The sequence below is a fragment of the Homo sapiens genome, chromosome X, assembly GCF_000001405.40.
Source record: "Homo sapiens chromosome X, GRCh38.p14 Primary Assembly".
Taxonomy (NCBI): Eukaryota; Metazoa; Chordata; class Mammalia; order Primates; family Hominidae; genus Homo; species Homo sapiens.
The window spans coordinates 3,928,637-3,947,323 of record NC_000023.11 but is presented as its reverse complement, the minus strand read 5'-3'; the positions used below and the strand labels follow the sequence as shown (position 1 = coordinate 3,947,323).

General features: G+C 41.0%; 1 long non-coding RNA gene across 1 annotated transcript; it reads left to right on the top strand.

Moving 5' to 3' along the window:
• Positions 1-9,451: 9,451 nt before the first annotated feature.
• Positions 9,452-17,952, top strand: FAM239C (family with sequence similarity 239 member C). Its single transcript, XR_001755780.2, has 2 exons — positions 9,452-9,672; positions 15,542-17,952. It is a non-coding gene; the product is annotated as a family with sequence similarity 239 member C (long non-coding RNA).
• Positions 17,953-18,687: the final 735 nt, after the last annotated feature.

The window sequence follows — 18,687 nt, the reverse complement described above, 5'->3', positions numbered from 1 at the left end:
AGCCCTGGACTACCAGGCTCAAGGGATCCTCCCACCTCAGCCTCCTGAGTAGCTGGGACTACAGGCACACACCACCATATCTGGCTAATTTTTAAAAATTTTTTTGTAGAGATAGGATCTCACTATGTGGCCCAGGCTGGTCTTGAGCTCCTGGCCTAAAGCCATCCTCCTGCCTCAGCCTCCCCAAGTGCTGGGAGTACAGGCATGAGTCACCATGCCTGGACATGAGTGGCTGTTATACAAGATACAGTAAGTAAGATTTATGATGCTGTTAGGGAATTGAAAAATGATTTTCAAAAGATAATTTTTAACCAATGGATCAGAAAGAATAAGAAAATGAAGCTTTGACATTGTCCTTTTATATTCTTCCTCATAGCAACAAAAACTTCAGTTGACCATTTTCAAACTCCATCTGCATACTCTAAAAAGATATTCTCAAAGGGCAATTGAAAGGGTCAGTTGAATGACTTATATTTACACTTCACTAATCGATTGTTTGAGAAGACACTTGGCTAGGGCCAGCCAGGAAAGAAGAAATAGAGAAGACACTTAACCAGTTAACCCAATTGACAGGTGGCTTTGGGATGGTATACGGAGAGCCTTCTGTGTTTTAGAAAATTTGAGTTGTTCCAAGAACAGAATAACAGCTGATCTCTCAAATGATAAATGTGGATCCCCTGGCTAATGGCAGAGGAGTGATTTGCCCATTAAATTGCTGAGGGCTATTGTTTGATTTAATACTGGCCAGGCAGAAAGAGGAAGTTTTCCTTGGAGTGGAGCAGGTCACTCCGTCTAAGGCTTGAAATCATTGGCTGTTGTTGCTGGTCAAAAAGCATAGGCCAAGCCGGGCAGTGGCTCACGCCTATAATCCCAGTAGTTTGGGAGGCTGAGGCAGGTGGATCACCTGAAGTCAGGAGTTTGAGACCAGTCTGGTCAACATGGTGAAACCCCATCTCTACTAAAAATACAAAACTAGCCAGGTATGGTGGCTCATGCCTGTAGTCCCAGCTATTCTGGAGACTGAGGCAGGAGGATTGCTTGAACCCAGGAAGTAGAGGTTGCAGTGAGCCGAGATCGTGCCATTGCACTCCAGCCTGGGCAACAGAATGAGACTTCATATCCAACAAAAATAATAATAATAAAATAAAATAAATAAATTAAATCTATAAGAATAAAAAAATTGAAAAAGAAAATGTGGTATATCTACACAGTGGACTACTATTCAGCCATAAAAATAAATGAAACCATGACTTTTGCAATAACATGGATGGAACTGAAGGCTATTATCTTAAGTAAAATAACTTAGAAAGTGAAATGCCAGACGTGCTCATTTGTAAGTGGGAGCTAAAGAATGCGCACTCATGGATATAGAGAGTGGAAAAACAGACATTGGAGACTCCAAAGGGTGGGAGAGTGGGAGGGGGTGAGGGATGAGAATTTCTGTCATGAGTACAATGTGCATTATTCAGGTGATGAATACATTGAAAGCCCAGAAGGCAGTAGGTAATATATCTATAACAAAATTGCACCTGTACCTCTTAAACTTATACAAATTATTAAAAAGCATAATGATATATCTCTTGACCACTTAAGGAAGCAGAAATGTTAAAAAGTAACTGTACGAGTTATAAATTGCTTTGTCATAACATCCACAAACTTGAACACACCCACTTATTGAGAGACTGAATAAACAGTGGCCAGACTATCTATAAAACAATGCTTAACCTCAATAATAATGAGAGAAATGCAAATTTCTTAAAAAATTGCTTGCCAACAGATGGCAAAAATTAATAGTCTGGCTGCACCAAGTATTGGTATGAATAGAAAGCAGTCAAGTTCTCATATACATTTTTTTGGTGAGAATAAAATAGTCCCGCAACCACCTTGGAATCAGTGAGAATTTTCTAGTAAACTTGAACATGCTCATTCTCTAGGGCCTTGCAATTAAAAAAAAAATGCCAAAGCCCATGAGCAAATATTCATACCCACGTTGTCCACGACCAGAGAATACTGAAAACAACCTATGCACTCATCAACATTGGACTCGATGAATAAAATAGGGTAGATTCACACAATAAAACTGCAGTGAATATGAATAAACTCCGTGTACATGTATCGACATGAATGCATTTCAAAATCATAATAGTGAGAGAACCAAGTCAGACAAAACTATATGCCCTATGATACCATTTATGTGAAGTTCAAAAACAGGCAAAACTAAACAATGTATTGTTGAGGGATATTTACATAGACAATAAAACAATACAAAAGATAGAATGACTGGACATCTCATTATTGGGTTGGCGTTTTTTGTTTTGTTTTTCAACCTGGGTAATGGATATTAATTTTATAAATTATTCTTTAAACTCAATCCATTATATGTTTTATGCATGCTTCCCTATGTGTATGTACAAAGACAGACAAGGGGTGGGGGAGAGAGAGAGAGAGGAAGGCGTGGAGGGAGCAAGGAGGGGAGGGAGGGAGGAAGGAATGAAAAGGAGAGAGTGCAATAAGCAAAATCATGAAGGAGAGAGTATTGGAAATACCGAAGAAATAAATAACATGTAAAAAATAAAGAAAACGCGTGACTCCATTTCACAGGTCCTTTTATTTCTATGGGCTTTCTGGGTATTGCATGCAAATCTCCATGGTCTGCAAGCAATCACACATCACATGTGTGCTTTACACACATCACCATTCAGCCATTGCTGACTTTTCATTGGTCTGTCTGCCTGCTGTGTTCTTTAGTTTCGAAATCTCGTAATGGAAGACTCTATTCAATTTTGCATCCTCGGCACCTCGCATGGTGCCTGGCAAACAGAAGAATAAATATAATTAAATTTAAAAATGCATAAAAACGTTAAAAATGGACCAAAATAATGGGAGGAAATGTTGCCTTATTTTTAAACTCTAAATTAGTCCATGGGGAGTGTCCCACCCCACACCACCCACCGCACTCCCCACACACACTTATAATAGCCTCTCTTCAAGACACAATCTTAATTTGCACATAACCAAACTAAAAGAAAACACAACTCTGAAAACGTGAAAAAACTATGCCCCCTCTTCTAGGTCTTATTATGTTCTTTTCAATGTTCAAACACAAATTGATTTGGCAACCCACGTTTTCTTAAAATTCCTAAGGGCATTTATTTAACCAAACCACAATAGCATGCCACTTGCATATATTTGTATATTTGGATTCAGATAATGTTTTCCATTTACTTTTAAATGATCCCATATAATGTGCATTATTCAACTGTACCCCCACTGAATATAAATAATTTAATGTTCACATTTCCAATGCTTGCCAGCGGAAGCAATTTTTTCCCTCAAAATGTGTAAGACAGAGTAGGTTCTCATGCTTAATGCAAACAAAAATGGCCTGAAACTATTTATTTTTCATTTTAGAAATATTATTGCAACATAGACAGAACATAAACTCAGTACTTAACAGAAAATTAATATAATTTTAATGTCCTGTTATGATGATTTCTATTCTCCATTGCTTTTGCACTTACGAAGAGTTTGGAATAGACTTTCCATAAAATGTAAGTTCTCAATTTGATCCTAAAAACTATTCAAAGAATCGACCAGCATTATATAATAGCACAGATGTGACAGTCCAATTTTTTAAAGTTACAAAAAGAGACCAGAAATCACTGAAAAGAGGCAAAAATAATACTATTTTAGTTTTAAATCGCTGATTTTTCTTTTTTTCTTTTTTGATTTAGACAAAGGTTCCCATTCCATAAATAGTTGATTTTTACTACAATTCAGGAAGAAAGCTAGTTCTAAAATTCCTGATACTTAAAATAGCTACATTTTATGCTTAAACGTTAACATACATTACTAAAAGTTACAAAGAGCTGGTTAACATATGAAATTCACAAATATAACCTTTCTGATTTTCTCCTTCTTTATCAAGAAATCCTCTTATGTCACCAAGTCAGCCCCATTGCTAAATGGAAACAGTGTAAGTATTTTTACATCTTCACCCACTATTCCTAGCTGACTCAAGACCTTGTTACTAAAATGCTTATTTAAGAGAAATATTTCTGGTTAGAAATGGTGTAATAAAGTCCATCTTGAACTCTCGTCTACTTGGAAATCATTTCAAAAAACACAATAAAGGTGAAAAACAGAAACACTGCTTTCCTTTTTATGAGAATAAGAGATAGAAGATATTCAGAATCACAAGCAGTAGAAGCCACACAAGGCTGTGGAAAAAGACAGAGAAAATAACCCTGGCTGCAAATTCTAATATCCAGGAAAAATCAGTTCTCCATGTAAGGAGAAACCAGAAGTCCAAGACAAATATTTCTTGTTGGCAATAATGAGGAAAGTGTGCTATGGACTCATGGTAAGAGCTCCTCTGCAACCAGTCTAAATTCAACATTTAGAGAAAATGGTGTTGAATGAGAAATCACAGAGACAGCCATATTTGTAGGAAGCACCTCATGACTGAGGCAGACCAAGGATGAAACACGAATGCAGGGTGCAGCTGCCTAGCTTTTTGGGTAAAACAAAAAGGTTAAAGATAGTACTGGGAATCCTATTCAGTGGAAGGAAGGAAGGAAGGAAGGAAGGAAGGAAAGAAAGAAAGAAAGAAAGAAAGAAAGAAAGAAAGAAAGAAAGAAAGAAAGAAAGAAAGAAAGAAAGAAGAGAGGGAGGGAAGGAAAGGCATATATTGGAATGAAGTAAAATAGTTTTTATTCATAATGACATGATCTTGCATGTAGAAAATTCTCTAGCATCTGCAGAAAAGCTACCAGAATAATAAATGGATTTAGAAGGTCACAGAATACATGGCTAATTTTAAAAATTAAATTAGGCTGGGCGCGATGGCTCAAGCCTGTAATCCCAGCACTTTGGGAGGCCGAGGCGGGCAGATAATGAGGTCAGGAGATCAAGACCATCCTGGCTAACACGGTGAAACCCCATCTCTACTGAAAATACAAAAAAATTAGCCGGGCATGGTGGTGGGCACCTGTAGTCCCAGCTACTCAGGATGCCGAGGCAGGAGAATGGCGTGAACCCGGGAAGCAGAGCTTGCAGTGAGCCGAGATTGCACCACTGCACTCCAGCCTGGGCAACAGAGCAAGACTCCATCTCAAAAAAAAAAAAAAAAATTAAATTATACCAGTAACAAAAAGTTGGAAAACAAATTATTTTAAATGTCATTTACAATAGAAAGTAGTACTGAGAGACAGATTTAGCAAATTTATGCAACACCTGAACACTGAAAGTTTTTAAATATATATGTTGATGAGAGAAATTTATGAAGACCAATACATAGAGAGATATATCATCTCTATTATTTGAAAGTATTGGCATTGTTAAGCTGATAATTTCCTCTTACTTGATCTACTGATTCAATGAAATGTCAATCAATGTTTCATTAGGATTTTTTTTATATTGACAAGCTAACTCCAAAATTTACCTGCAAATGCCAAGGACCTAGAATAGCAAAGTAATTTAGATAAAGAACAACAAAATTAGAGCACATATGCTTCTTAAGTTCAAGATTTACTAGAAGGCAACAGTATCAATGTCATGTGTCACAGGCAGTAGGACAGACAGGGAAAACAATGATATAAGATAGAACCACATATCCATGGTCAATTGACTCAATGTGGAAATAATAAGCTTTTCAAGAAATGGTGTAAGAATAACTGAGTATTCTTCTAGGAATTTTTAAAAAACCCTTTTTTCATACTATTTAGAAGGTTTTATCAAAATGTATCATAGACGTAAATGAAAAAGCTGAACTATTAAGCATCTAGGTGAAAACACATGAACAACTCTTCTTGAACTTGGTATAGAAAAGATTTTTTAGGGCTGAGCATGGTGGCTCATGCTTGTAATCCCAGCAATCTGGGAGGCCGAGGCAGGCAGATTACTTGAGGTCAGGAGTTTGAGAACAGCCTGGCCAACAATGATGAAACCCCATCTCTACAAAAAAATGCAAAAAAAAAAAAAAAAAAAAATTAGCCTGGCTTGGTGGCGTGCACCTGTAATCCCAGCTCCTTGGGAGACTGAGGCAGGAGAATTGCTTGAATCCAGGAGGTGGAGGTTGCAAAAAAAAAAGAAAAGAAAAGAAAAGAAAAGAAAAGGTTGTTTAGATAGGACACTAAAAGCATGAATCATAATATTTTTAAAAATGGATGAAGTGGACTTTATCAAAATTCAAAATTATCTTTAAACAACATCATTAATAAAAGAAAAGATAAGCTGCATACTGGGAAAAAACATTACATAAAATATATTTATTATATATTCAGAATATATAAACAACTCAATTACAAAAGACAAGCAACTCAACAGACTACTGACAAAATATATGAACAAATACTTCACAGAAAAATAATACACACACACACACTCTCACACACACGGAGCCAATAGGTATATAAACAAAGATACCATCATTATTAGTGATCAGAGCACTGCAAATTAAAGACACAATGAGATATCCCTACATGACCACGAGCATAAATAACATTTTCAAGCTTGACAATAACAAGCACTAAATATAAAGCAACTACAACCCTCCTACATTCACAGTGCAAAGTGAAACGACAACTTTTGAAAAACAGTGCAGCATATGAACCTAAACATGTAACCAAGAAAAAAAAATAGAAATAGCCTATAGACAAAGACGTGTCCACTGATACCATGCATTTTTATTCATAATAGCTCAGACAGGTAAATACCTCCATTGTAAAAATAAATAAATAAATAAGCTATTCCACTGGGATTATGAAATTTTTTAAAAATTTGCACAGTCTCATTATCCCTGTGTATTTAATTTTCTCCTCTGGGAGCCTGCAGCATTTACCTTGGAAGTGCCCCAAGCAGGTGACTGAGCCAGTTTCACTCACCTTTGGTTGACCTCACCTGGAAATAATGGGGAAATTGTATTTTTCTCACATTCTAAGCACACCTGGTTGACCTATGATGCAATAATAATTACATAGTTGGGTTCTCTGCACCAGATAGCTCCTTCCATTGCAAAAACATTGCCATTCATGCATTTTCACCCCCCAGCTAAACCTCACATGAAGGTCTAAGAAAGAACAGTAGATTGTGTCAAAAATCATTGATTTCTGAGTTGCTGTTTTTTTTAAAAAATGCTAGTGTTTGGTGCCATCTAGTGGGTTCAATTTGCTATTTAAGCCACACAAGAAAATCACCATAACAGAGGGAAGAGAGAGGATCCTTTTAAAATAAATGAAATCAAGAATTGCTTTTCAAAAATAAGTGTGGGCCGGGCGTGGTGGCTCATGCCTGTAATCTTAGCACTTTGGGAGGCCGAGGCGGGTGGGTCACTTCAGGTCAGGAGTTCAAGAACAGCCTGGCCAACATGGTAAAACCCCGTATCTACTGAAAATACAAAAATTAGCCGGGATGTTGGCGGGCGCCTGTAGTCCCAGCTACTCAGGAGGCTGAGGCACAAGAATCGCTTGAACCCGGGAGGCGGAGGTTGGAGGGAGCCGAGATCACGCCACTGCACCCCAGCCTGGATAAGAGAGCGACACTCTGTCTCAAAAAAATAAAAAACAAAAAACAAACAAAACAAAAAGTGTGGACTAGGGCTCAAAATTCTGATGCCTTTTTTTTTTTAATAATTAAAATTAACTTTTGCTTGATGAATATGGGGGTGATATTCTTTTTTGAGGGTGATAAAAATGTTCAGGGAGATGGAGATGATGGTTGTACAATATTATGCATGCTGTGTACTAAATGCCACCGAATTCTATGCTTTGAAATAGTTAAATATATGTTAGAATAATAACATTCTAAGAAAACATGAATTTAAAATGGGAGGCATGGTAGATAACATGACTGCCCACACATAATCTTTAAATCTGCCCAATATGGTCCAACATTGTTTCTTCAGGTGGCTATACTTTATTTTACCTTGTATTTTATCTACTATGTCACTTTTTTCCCCACTTTCTCACCTCAGCTATTCAAACAGCTCCCCCCCTGCCCAGCCTTCTAGCACTCAATCCTGTCTCCCGGGATAAACGGCATCCCTCCCAAGCCATCCAAGACATGGTTTCACTGCACTTCTGAATGTTCCTGGGTTTTCCCCAACTTTTCCCAATGGAAAAGCCCTGTAAGGGTCTCTATGGAAGTTTAGTAGGGTTAGGGGCTAGCACCAGCTGTCCCCACTGTTGTAAGCCCTCTCATCCCTCTGGGTGGCAATTGGGGGGGTGGGTGATGGTCTGTGGACCAGCTATGGGGAGCTACCCCTGGAGTGCAGAACCTACGGATGCAGAGAAGAGGTACCTCCTTCTTGTACAGAACGGGTGTGCAGGGATGCCTGAAATGGGGGAGGGCAGAGTGCCCGGAAGGAAAGCCAGCACTCTTATGGGGTACACTGTAGGGATGGCAGGGAAGGAGGTGGGAAAGATGATTTCAGCAGGGGACAGGAGTTAGTGGGGGAGGCTTGCACCCTTCCACGCTTTTGAGAGTGCACTCACACAGGCACATGCACTCACTCCCATGCACACACTCCCACTCATTCATGTACACACACTTGCATTCTCATGCCCTTTACACTTGCCCTTGCACACTAGCACACTCAGGTCCACACCCAATACACATACACAGTCATATACTGAAAAACACAGCCACACTCACACTCATGCATCACAACCCTACACTTACACCATCACACGCACCCTCATACACTTACATGTATGCACCCACATACACATGCATACTTTCACATGCTGTCATTCATAAACACTGACACGCAGCCACACAATGTCACAGTACACACACACTGTCACACTACACACACACTTTTACATGCTCTCACACTCATACCCACTGGCACACACTCATAAACACACCCACAAGCAGTCACACTAACTCACACGCTCACCCTCCCACACACATGCACTGCACACTCACATACTGACATACTACATGCCTTCATAGTTTACACACACACTTCCATGCACATTCACTCCATACCTTTTTGCACACTCATACACTCATTCACACTTCCATCATCACAACACTGACACACTTCTGCCTGTCCTCACACACCTACACACTTGCCACACACACACTGACAGTGTTCCATGCACACTCACACATCCTGCGCATTCAGTCACTAACTTGCCCTCATGACCACACACACACACACACACTCAGGCTTTCAAATGCACTCATCCACAGACACATATTCTCATATGCATACATACTTGCACACACACCCTCACACGCTTGTTCACACTCCCTTACATGCAGTCACACTAGCCATCACACTCACATGTGCTCACACACATACACACTCACACCCCCTTTGCACACACACTCCCCCCACCCGCTCACCCCAAGCCCACCTGACAGGTGACACACTTTACCTGTGCGACTGGGATGGCTGGTCCTCTGCCTGGGCTTTGAGGTTCCTTGGGGGCAGCGGCTTATGCTGGTTTTCCCACTGCGGTGTCTTCTGTGGCTTCAGCGTTGCCTAGTGCAGGCTGCCATTCAACAAACGCATTGTCAACAGTCAACCAAAAGAAACCCATTGGCCACCATGCCCTGAGGACTAACCCTGACACAAATGCCCTTCCAGATGCCCTCAATAGTCTGTTTCCATCACCCCAGCCTCGGAAGAGAAGCACTGCTGCCTATGCACTCCATTTACAGGTGAGACTGGGAGAGGTTTAGGGAGTGGCCAAGTCCCCTGCCTACACAGCTGTCTCCCAATCTATCTTCTCATCCTCCCCCTTCTCAGGCTAAAATCACACTCAGTGTTTCTGTGGGATCATCTGATCTGGACATTGTCAGAAAAAATTGTACCAGACAAGTTAAACCTTCAAGGAAGGACTCAGTCAGGACTACTGCAATACGGAAGAGAGAAGGAGCTTAACTTTGTTGAAACAAAAGGCTGGAGAGTTTTTAAGTGCCGGGGTGAGATGCTGAGAAGGAACTGGAGACATCAGGAAGAGGTTAGGAAATGCTGTAAAGCTATCTGCGTTGGCTCATTGGAATTTTTCAAAACTAGGAATCTGCCCTTCTACAAAAACTGAGACACAGATGTATCATCTCCTTCAATAATTGCATTTTAAAGGGATGGCTCTGAAGTCTTGAGAAAGGCATTCCTGGGTTGCAAAACTAGGAAGAGGCTAGAAGAAAATTTGGGAGAAGATTTGCATCTCAAAGAGATAGAGAAAGAACTCACAATTGCAAGTTTCCTAAAATAAATCCTCCGTGAAAAAAGGAGGCCTGATGGATGGAACTGGAGGTCATTATGTTAAGTGAAATAAGCCAGGCACAGAAGAAAAATACTGCATGTTCTCACTCACATGTGGGAGCTTAAAACCTGGATCTCATGGAGATAGAGAGTAGATTGGTGGCTACCAGAGGCTGGGAAGGGAGCAGAGAAGGGAGATAAAAATAGTTTGATTAATGGATGCAAATATCTTAGGTTTTTTTGGTTTTTTGTTTTGTTTTTTTGGAGACAGGATTCTGCTCTGTTGCCAGACTGAAGTACAGTGGTGCAATCATAGCTCACGGTAACCTTGAACTCCTGGGCTCAAGCAATCCTCCTACCTCAGCCTCCCCAGTAGCTAGGACTACAGGTGCATGCCACCATGCCAGGCTGGCTTTTGTGTTTTTTTTTGTAGAGACAGGGTCTCACTAGGTTGCCCAGGCAGGTCTCGAGCTCCTGAGCTCAAGAAATCCTCCCACTTTGCAAATATACACTTCGATAAGAGAAAAAAGACATAGTGTTCAATAGATCAGCAAGTGACTGTAGTTTACAATAATCTATTGTACATGTCTTTTCTTCTTCTTTTTTTTTTTTTATTTTTTTTTTTTGAGACAGAGTCTCGCTCAGTCACCCAGGCTGGAGTGCAGTGGCATGATCTCCACTCACTGCAGCCTTGACTTCCCAGGCTCCAGAGATCCACCCACCTTAGCCTCTTGAGTATGGGACTACAGGTACACAACACAACACCTGGCTAATTTTTGTATTTTTTGTAGAGACAGGGTTTCGCCATGTTGGCCAGGCTAGTCTCAAACTCCTGGACTCAAGTGATCCACCCACCTTGTAGCAGGATGAGCCGCAGACAAAACCTCTCAGACCCCGAGTTGTAGAAGGAAGGGCTTTATTCAGCTGGGAGCATCGGCAAGCTACTGCCTTAAAATCCGAGCTCCCCGAGTGCACAATTTCTGTCCCTTTTAAGGGTTCACAACATTAAAGATTTCACATGAAAGGGTCGTGATTGATTTGAGCAAGCAGGGGGTACGTGACAGGGGCTGTATGCACCGGTGGTCAGAGAGAAACAGAACAGGGCAGGGAGTTTCACAGTGTTCTTCTATACAATGTCTGGAATCTATGAATAACACCGGTTTCTAAGTCATGAGTTGATTTTTAACTACTGGGTGTAGGCCAGGCAGGCCCAGGCCTGGTTTCAGGCCTGGCACCGAGCTGCCTGTCTTTGGTTTTACTTCCTTGCTGTTTTTGCTTAAAACAGGTACTGAGTATAAAACAATATAAAATAATATGAGAGGGTCTTTCTCTTCCTTCAACCTCGGCCTCCCAAAGTGCTGGGATTACAGGCCTGAGCCACCGCACCCAGCTATCTTGGTGTTTTTAACCTTAATAACGACAAAGTGCATCCTCGATATGGTCTCATCCCCCTTGCTGTAAGCACGTTAAAATGCTGTTATGACGTGCATTCAAGCGATCAAATGGTGCTAACATCAATGCCTTTGCCTGCAGAATTAATTCAGGGGTTTATTTGAAACTCAATAAAAAAGGCCTAATGTGCAACATTCGGCAGACAAGAAGCCATATGCAGATACTTTCTTTTAAAATAACAGGTCATTATTTGGTTCTTTCTCATGTGAGAGTCAGATGACTCAGAGCCAACATAAATTCCAAGTGGTATGCAGAAAACCAGTGCATAGCTGGAGAGGGGAATGAAGGTTAGTATCTGCAGTAAGGCTGAGTCGATGCAAACGGCCACACGGTCATGGATTCACAATGATCTGGGTCTCCATCATCCTGCAAACCAACACCTTGCACAGCCTTCAAACACCAGCTGGGAAATCAAAAGTAGCATGTGCAGTAGCAGGAGATCTGTTCACCCTCTATTTCCTCTCATCTCCATGCAGCAATCTGTGAACGGAGAGAAGCCTTTAAGCTCTGGGGTCTGCTGCTCTGCAGAGACAATTTGCATTTCTCTCAACACTCCTGGAATTCTTACTGGGAAACCCAGGGTACCTGGGAGCTCAGGCCATCCTGTGTCCTTTGGGATGTTAGGAGGAAGCAGAATAGCCAGCTCCCAAATGGAATACTGCAAAATGCTCACTTCTCAAGGGTCTGTTTTGGGTTTTGTGTTGTTTTTTTTTTGAGACAGGGTCTCTGTCACACAGTCTGGAGTGCAGTGGCATGATCCCGGCTCACTGTAACCTCCACCTCCCAGGTTCAAGGGATTCTCCCACCTCAACCTCCCAAGTAGCTGGGACTACAGGCACGCACCACCACACTCAGTTAATTTTTGTATTTTCATTTTTGGGGGTTTTTTGGTAGAGACAGAGTTTCACCATGTTGGCCAGGCTGGTCTCAAATGCCTGACCTCAAGTGATCTGCCCACCTCAGCCTCCCAAAGTGCTGGGATTACAGGCATGAGCCACCGCGCCCGGCCTCCTTCAAGGGTCTGAATCCAGCCAGTGAGCTTGCCCTACATCATGCCTGCTTCATCCTATGCAATGGAGAGAGGCTGAGATTTTATTTTAATGAGAAAATCTATTGAATTGCATTACATTAAACTAAAATGGAGAGACACAAACATAAAAAATGAAATAAAAATCCAGAAATTGCAATAGTAGGTAACCCTCCAAAATGTGGCAAAGCTCTGTGTATATTAAAAGTGTACTGAGGTCGGGCGTGGTGGCTCACACCTGTAATCTCAGCACTTTGGGAGGCCAACGCAGGTGGATTGCCTGAGCTCAGGGGTTCAAGACTAGCCTGGGCAAAACAGTGAAACCCCATCTTTACTGAAGTACAAAAAATTAGCCAGGCATGGCGGCATGCACCTGTAATCTCAGCTACTCGGGAGGCTGAGACAGGAGAATTGCTTGAACCCAGGAGGCGGAGGTTGCAGTGAGCTGAGACCTCGCCATTGCACTCCAGCCTGGGCAACACAGCGAGAGTCCATCTCAAAAACAAAACAAAACAAAAAATATACTGAAACATGCAACATCCACCTTTTCATAATAGTTCCCGTGGCCTACACAAGTGAGTATGAAATGCTTAATATTTTGCTTGCCCTACATTTTCTTTTGCTGGAAGGGTGGTTCTGGATAAAAACTTTTTATTTTCCCATTCTTTGCTTTTTCATTAATGCTATTTTCTTTGCCCCAAAGTTATAGAGTGGAAAAACTCCCAATCTCTTTTTCTTCTCTCTTGTATTTTCAGGTAGATGCATTCTATTACTATATTCTATCTATCCGTTCATTCCATCTATAATCTATCATCTATTCCATATATCTATCCACCATCTATCTATCTATTCCATCTATCATCTATCTACCTACCTATTATTGTCTATCTGTCTATCTTTCTATCATCTATTCATTATCTATCTATTCTATCTACCTATCATTAATCTGTCATCTATTCCATCTAACATCTATCTACCTATTGTCTATCTTTCTATCATCTATCGTCTATCTACATTTACCTATATTGTTCTCTCTGTCAATCATCTATCTATCCATCTATGTATATATGTATTTATGAATGTATGTGTGTAATTTTCTATCTTCTAGTTATCCATCTGTCTATCTATCCATCCGTCCATCTATTTCTCTTATGTATACAGATAAATATATAATCTATATATCTTACATCTGTAACATGTTCTTTTTACTTTTATACATCAGTGACATTAATTAAATCCCACCTAATAAAAATTGTATTCTAAAATTTGGTGTAGTAGGAGGCTGAATAACCTGACCCTAGATCAAGGTACACATTGTGTGGCTGAAAATCACCTGGCTTTGTTAGACTTCATCTTTCTCCTACATAGGACTTGGTAGCCAGCCTAGAAAATCTCAAAGGTGCCTTCAACCTTTGAATGCATTGGTTCCATGGAAGCAGGAGGCTTAAGCTCTAGACCCATGGCTGTTGTAATTACACATAACTCAGACATTGCCATAAGGGACCCTTAGGATGGCAGTACGACACTTGTTCCTCAGAATACCCTACATGCAAATTTGCCCTCCCAAGAGCCATATTTTACAAAGTGATAATCTTGGGAACATGGTCCACCCAAATGCCTCTGCCTGCAGTGGATTTCTGCAGACTTCAGACAATCTGGGCACCATCAAAGCCAAGCACTCCCTGGTGTAGTATCTAATAGGGACCATGTAATTAGGGCATGTTTTATGTGAGATTCTGCTCAAGAGATGTAAGTACAAGAAAAAGACAGCTTTTCACGGCAGAGATAAGATAATTGAGCTGTCTGGCATAGTGACTCAAAGCCATTGAAGGTTCTAGTCAAATGATTCCTCTGGTTTTGACTTTTTAAATGGCTCTTTCACTGTTGTTGCCTCTGGCAACTACCATTATAATTGGAGGAAATTTTGTTCCGCTAAGAGGCTACTCCATTTACGGACTCAAGCCAGACCAAAATAATGAAGCTCTCTTATAATCCCGGTATGTTTCCTGATCATTCCCATTTCCCTCTCTGGCTGTCCAGAAATAGACTCTCTTCCAAGGTATCACTTTTATTTATAGCCAATATGAAGGTCTTGTAGAAAAACACTGACTTCCAAAAACAACAGACGCATGTTGGCAAGAGTACAGAGACAAGGGAATGCTTATACACTGTTGGTGAGAAGTAAATTGTACAACCTCTATAGGAAACAGTATGTAGATTTCCCAAAGAACTAAAAATAGATCTGCCCTTTGACCCAGCAACTCCACTAATGATTATCTATGCAAAGGAAAAGAAATTATCAAAAAAGATGCCTATGCTTACATTTTTATTGCACCTCAATTCACAATAGCAAAATCGTGGAATGAACCTGAATGTTCATTGGATGAAGAAAATGTGGTATACACACACCAAGGAATACTATGCATCTATAAAAAAGAATGAAACTGTATCACTGTATCTTTTGCAGCAACATAAATGGAGCTGCAGGTCAATATCCTAAGTGAGATAACTCAGAAACAGAAAATCAAATACCACATGTTTTCACTTATAAGTGGGAGCTAAAAATGGGTACACATGGACCTATAGAATGGAATAACAGGCACTGGACACCTTTAAAAGGGGGAAGGTGGGAGAGGATGAGGGTTGAAAAATTACCTATCTGGTATTATGTTCACTGTTTAGGGGACAGAAGGCCAATCCCCACCACTAGGCAACATATCCATGTAACAAACCTGCACCCTTATGCCCTGAATCTATTTGTTTTTTCAACATTGACTTCCATGGTCACTATTTGTGAAATCACTCCTCATGAACCAGGACTTGCATGTTTTTTTGTTTCTCAGGTGAACTGTCACCCCTACAACTCAGCTTGCAACCAGCCCTGGCCACCACCAGTTTCCCCACACTGAGCTGAATATTGGACATGCCCATCTTAGACATTCCAGCCCATTCTGAAATTCCACATCGATTCACCCGACAAAGTCTGAAGTTCCAGGGCAATTTATCTGGAAAAGCTCACCTGGAATCATGTGTCATTTCAACCAACAACTGTCGAAGAGGACGTGGCATCAAAACCAAGGTTATCAATTATTTATAAGGGTTGTGTGGTGGTTGGTCCAAGCATCTCTCCTTCATGCCATCACTCCTTTCAAGAGCTGCCTCTATTTTCTAATTTAGCACAGGAATTTAGATGCCCCTAAATAAGTAGGCATCCAGTATCTGCCCACACCAGTTTTAGTGAGAGTACATATGGAGACACTACCACCACCCCTGCTCTCCTACTGCATACCCCACCATGCCAAAGCATGGTGGCTCACACCTGTAATCCCAGTGCTTTGGGAGGCCAAAGAGGAGGAACACTTGAGGCCAGAAGTATGAGACCAGCCTGGGCAACATAGTGAGACCTCATTTCTATAAATAAGTTAAAAAAACAAAAAAATAGGGCATAGTGGTGCACATGTGTGGTCCCAGTTACTCAGCAGGCTGAGGCTGGAAGATCACTTGAGCCCAGGAGTTTGAGGCTGCAGTGAGCTAGGATTATGCCACTGCACTCTAGCCTGGGCAACAGAGAGAGACCCCATCTCTAAAAAGAGGGAGAAGAAGGAAGGAGGAGGAAGAAGAGGAAGAGGAGGAGGAGAAATACTGCTCTTTCTCAGGCCCAAGGTAAAAAGGTTTTTGGTCTCATGTTGACCAGAAAGACATTGATATTTAATTAAGCAATATAAAAAGGCTCATTGTTAGGATTAAAGAGTAAGTAAAATCAATATTGAGATAGGAGGATGGAGGACACCAACTGAGTTCCGATCCCAATGAAGAGGAGAAAAAGCTACAACTATCTAGGTGAAATATCTACTTATCCTAGAAGAAGCCTTTTGACAGCAACATAAAATTCATACCTATAGGTTTTTAATTCCTATGGATGCCGTAGCAAATAACAAAAACTTGGATGGCGTAAAGTAACAGATGTTTACTCTTTTCCAGTATTGGAGACCAGGAATCTGAGATCAAGGTGTGGGCAGGGGTGCGCTCCCCCTGGAGGTTCTAGGAGAGGATCCTTCCTGCCTCTTCCAGCTCCTGGTGGCTCCAGGTGTCCCTGGGCTTGTGGCCACATCACTACATTCTCTGCCTCCATCTCCACGTGACCTTTTCCTCTGTGTCTGTGTCTCCTCTTCTGTCTCTTAGAAGGACACTGGTCATTGGATTTAAAGGCCACCTGGGTAATTTATAGTGATCTAATCTCAAGAATCTTTCCTTAATTACATGCAAATACTCTTTATCCAAATTAGTTTGCATTCACAAATTCTGGAGCTTAGTACTTGGACATATATTTTGGGGGGTTGATGGTTGGAGGGGCTTTTATTCAACTCAGTACATCTTAATAAGGAATTAATGCCCCCCAACTTGCCTTACAAGTCATATATTAAAAACAATGTTGGCCTGGCACAGTGGCTCATGCCTGTAATCTCAACACTTTGGGAAGCCAAGGGAGGAGGATCACTTGAGCCCAGGAGTTGGAGACCAGCCTGGATAACAAAGGGAGACCCAGTTTCTACAAAATATTTAAAAATTAGCCAGGCATGATGGTGCATGCCTGTGGTCCTAGCTATTCAGGAAACTGAGGTGGGAGGATCACTTGAGCCTGGAAGTTCAAGACAGCAGTGAGCTATGCTCACACCACTGCACTCCATCCTGGGCAACAGAGCTGGACTCTGTCTCAAAAAACATAACACTAAAACATCAAAATTAAAAAAAAAAAACACTGAAAGTAGCCTCCACTTACAAACTAATTACTCTTTCTTGAAAATATTACACTTTTTTTCTTCTATATCTCTACTCCTAGCTCTCAACACCTTTCTTAAGCCCACATCATAACCTGTCTTGCATAACTTTGTGAGTGCCCAACGTTTCACTGTACAAGATTGTAGAGCTGCATGCTTCTTAAGAATAAATCCACACTTTAGGTACCAGTAAATCCATGCAATGCCTCAGACGTTATAACCAAATAATGCCTGGAAAATCGACATGAATTTATGTGAAGCATAAGCCTTTAATTTTTTTAAAGAAAAGTAGATTGCTGTTTTTCCACATCATTTCAGAGCCGTTCTCTAGTTTTGCATGCCCTTTACTGCAGAACCATACAGATTTTGTTCTCCATTTCATACATCATTTGTTGAAATGCCCTTTAAAATGTAACGGAATATAGAGCTTTATGGGAAAAAATGCTGTAGAAAATAAATTATCTTCTCTCTTTGTATTGGGAACCAAAAGGTCTCACCTTATTAATGACCACAGAGACTCTCCTAAAGCAATTCTGGAAGTCAAAACAGCTGGAGTCTAGTTTAATGGGAACCCTCATTAATTAGACAAGAACACCAAGGCTATGACCACAGCAGCTGGTAGCAGCAGCCCTGCAGTGAAGTAGACTCTCAGAGGACACAAGGAAAGAGTGTATTGATAAGAAATCTACAGCAAAGGTGTAGCACATCATCATTTGATCTTGATACACTTGACTGTGGGCAAAGTACCTGTTATGTAAAACATGCTTTGTTAGTTAGGGCCATGATAAGCTGCTTAAGCTGATGAATGAACACCAAATCTCAGTGTTTTTTTTTTTTTTTTTGGTTTTTTTTTTTGAGACAGAGTCTCACTCTGTCGCCCAGGCTGGAGTGCAGTGGGGTGATCTCAGCTCACTGCAAGCTCCGCCTCCCAGGTTCACGCCATTCTCCTGCCTCAGCCTCCCGAGTAGCTGGGACTACAGGCGCCCGCCACCATGCCCAGCTAATTTTTTTGTATTTTTAGTAGAGACGAGGTTTCACCATGTTAGCCAGGATGGTCTCAATCTCCTGACCTCATGATCCGCCCGCCTCAGCCTCCCAAAGTGCTGGGATTACAGGCGTGAGCCACCGCACCCAGCCCGTATTTTTTTTTCTAACAAATACCTGGTGTTAAGCCCAAAGTGTGTGTTTCTGGTTGGCTGGTGATGCTCTTT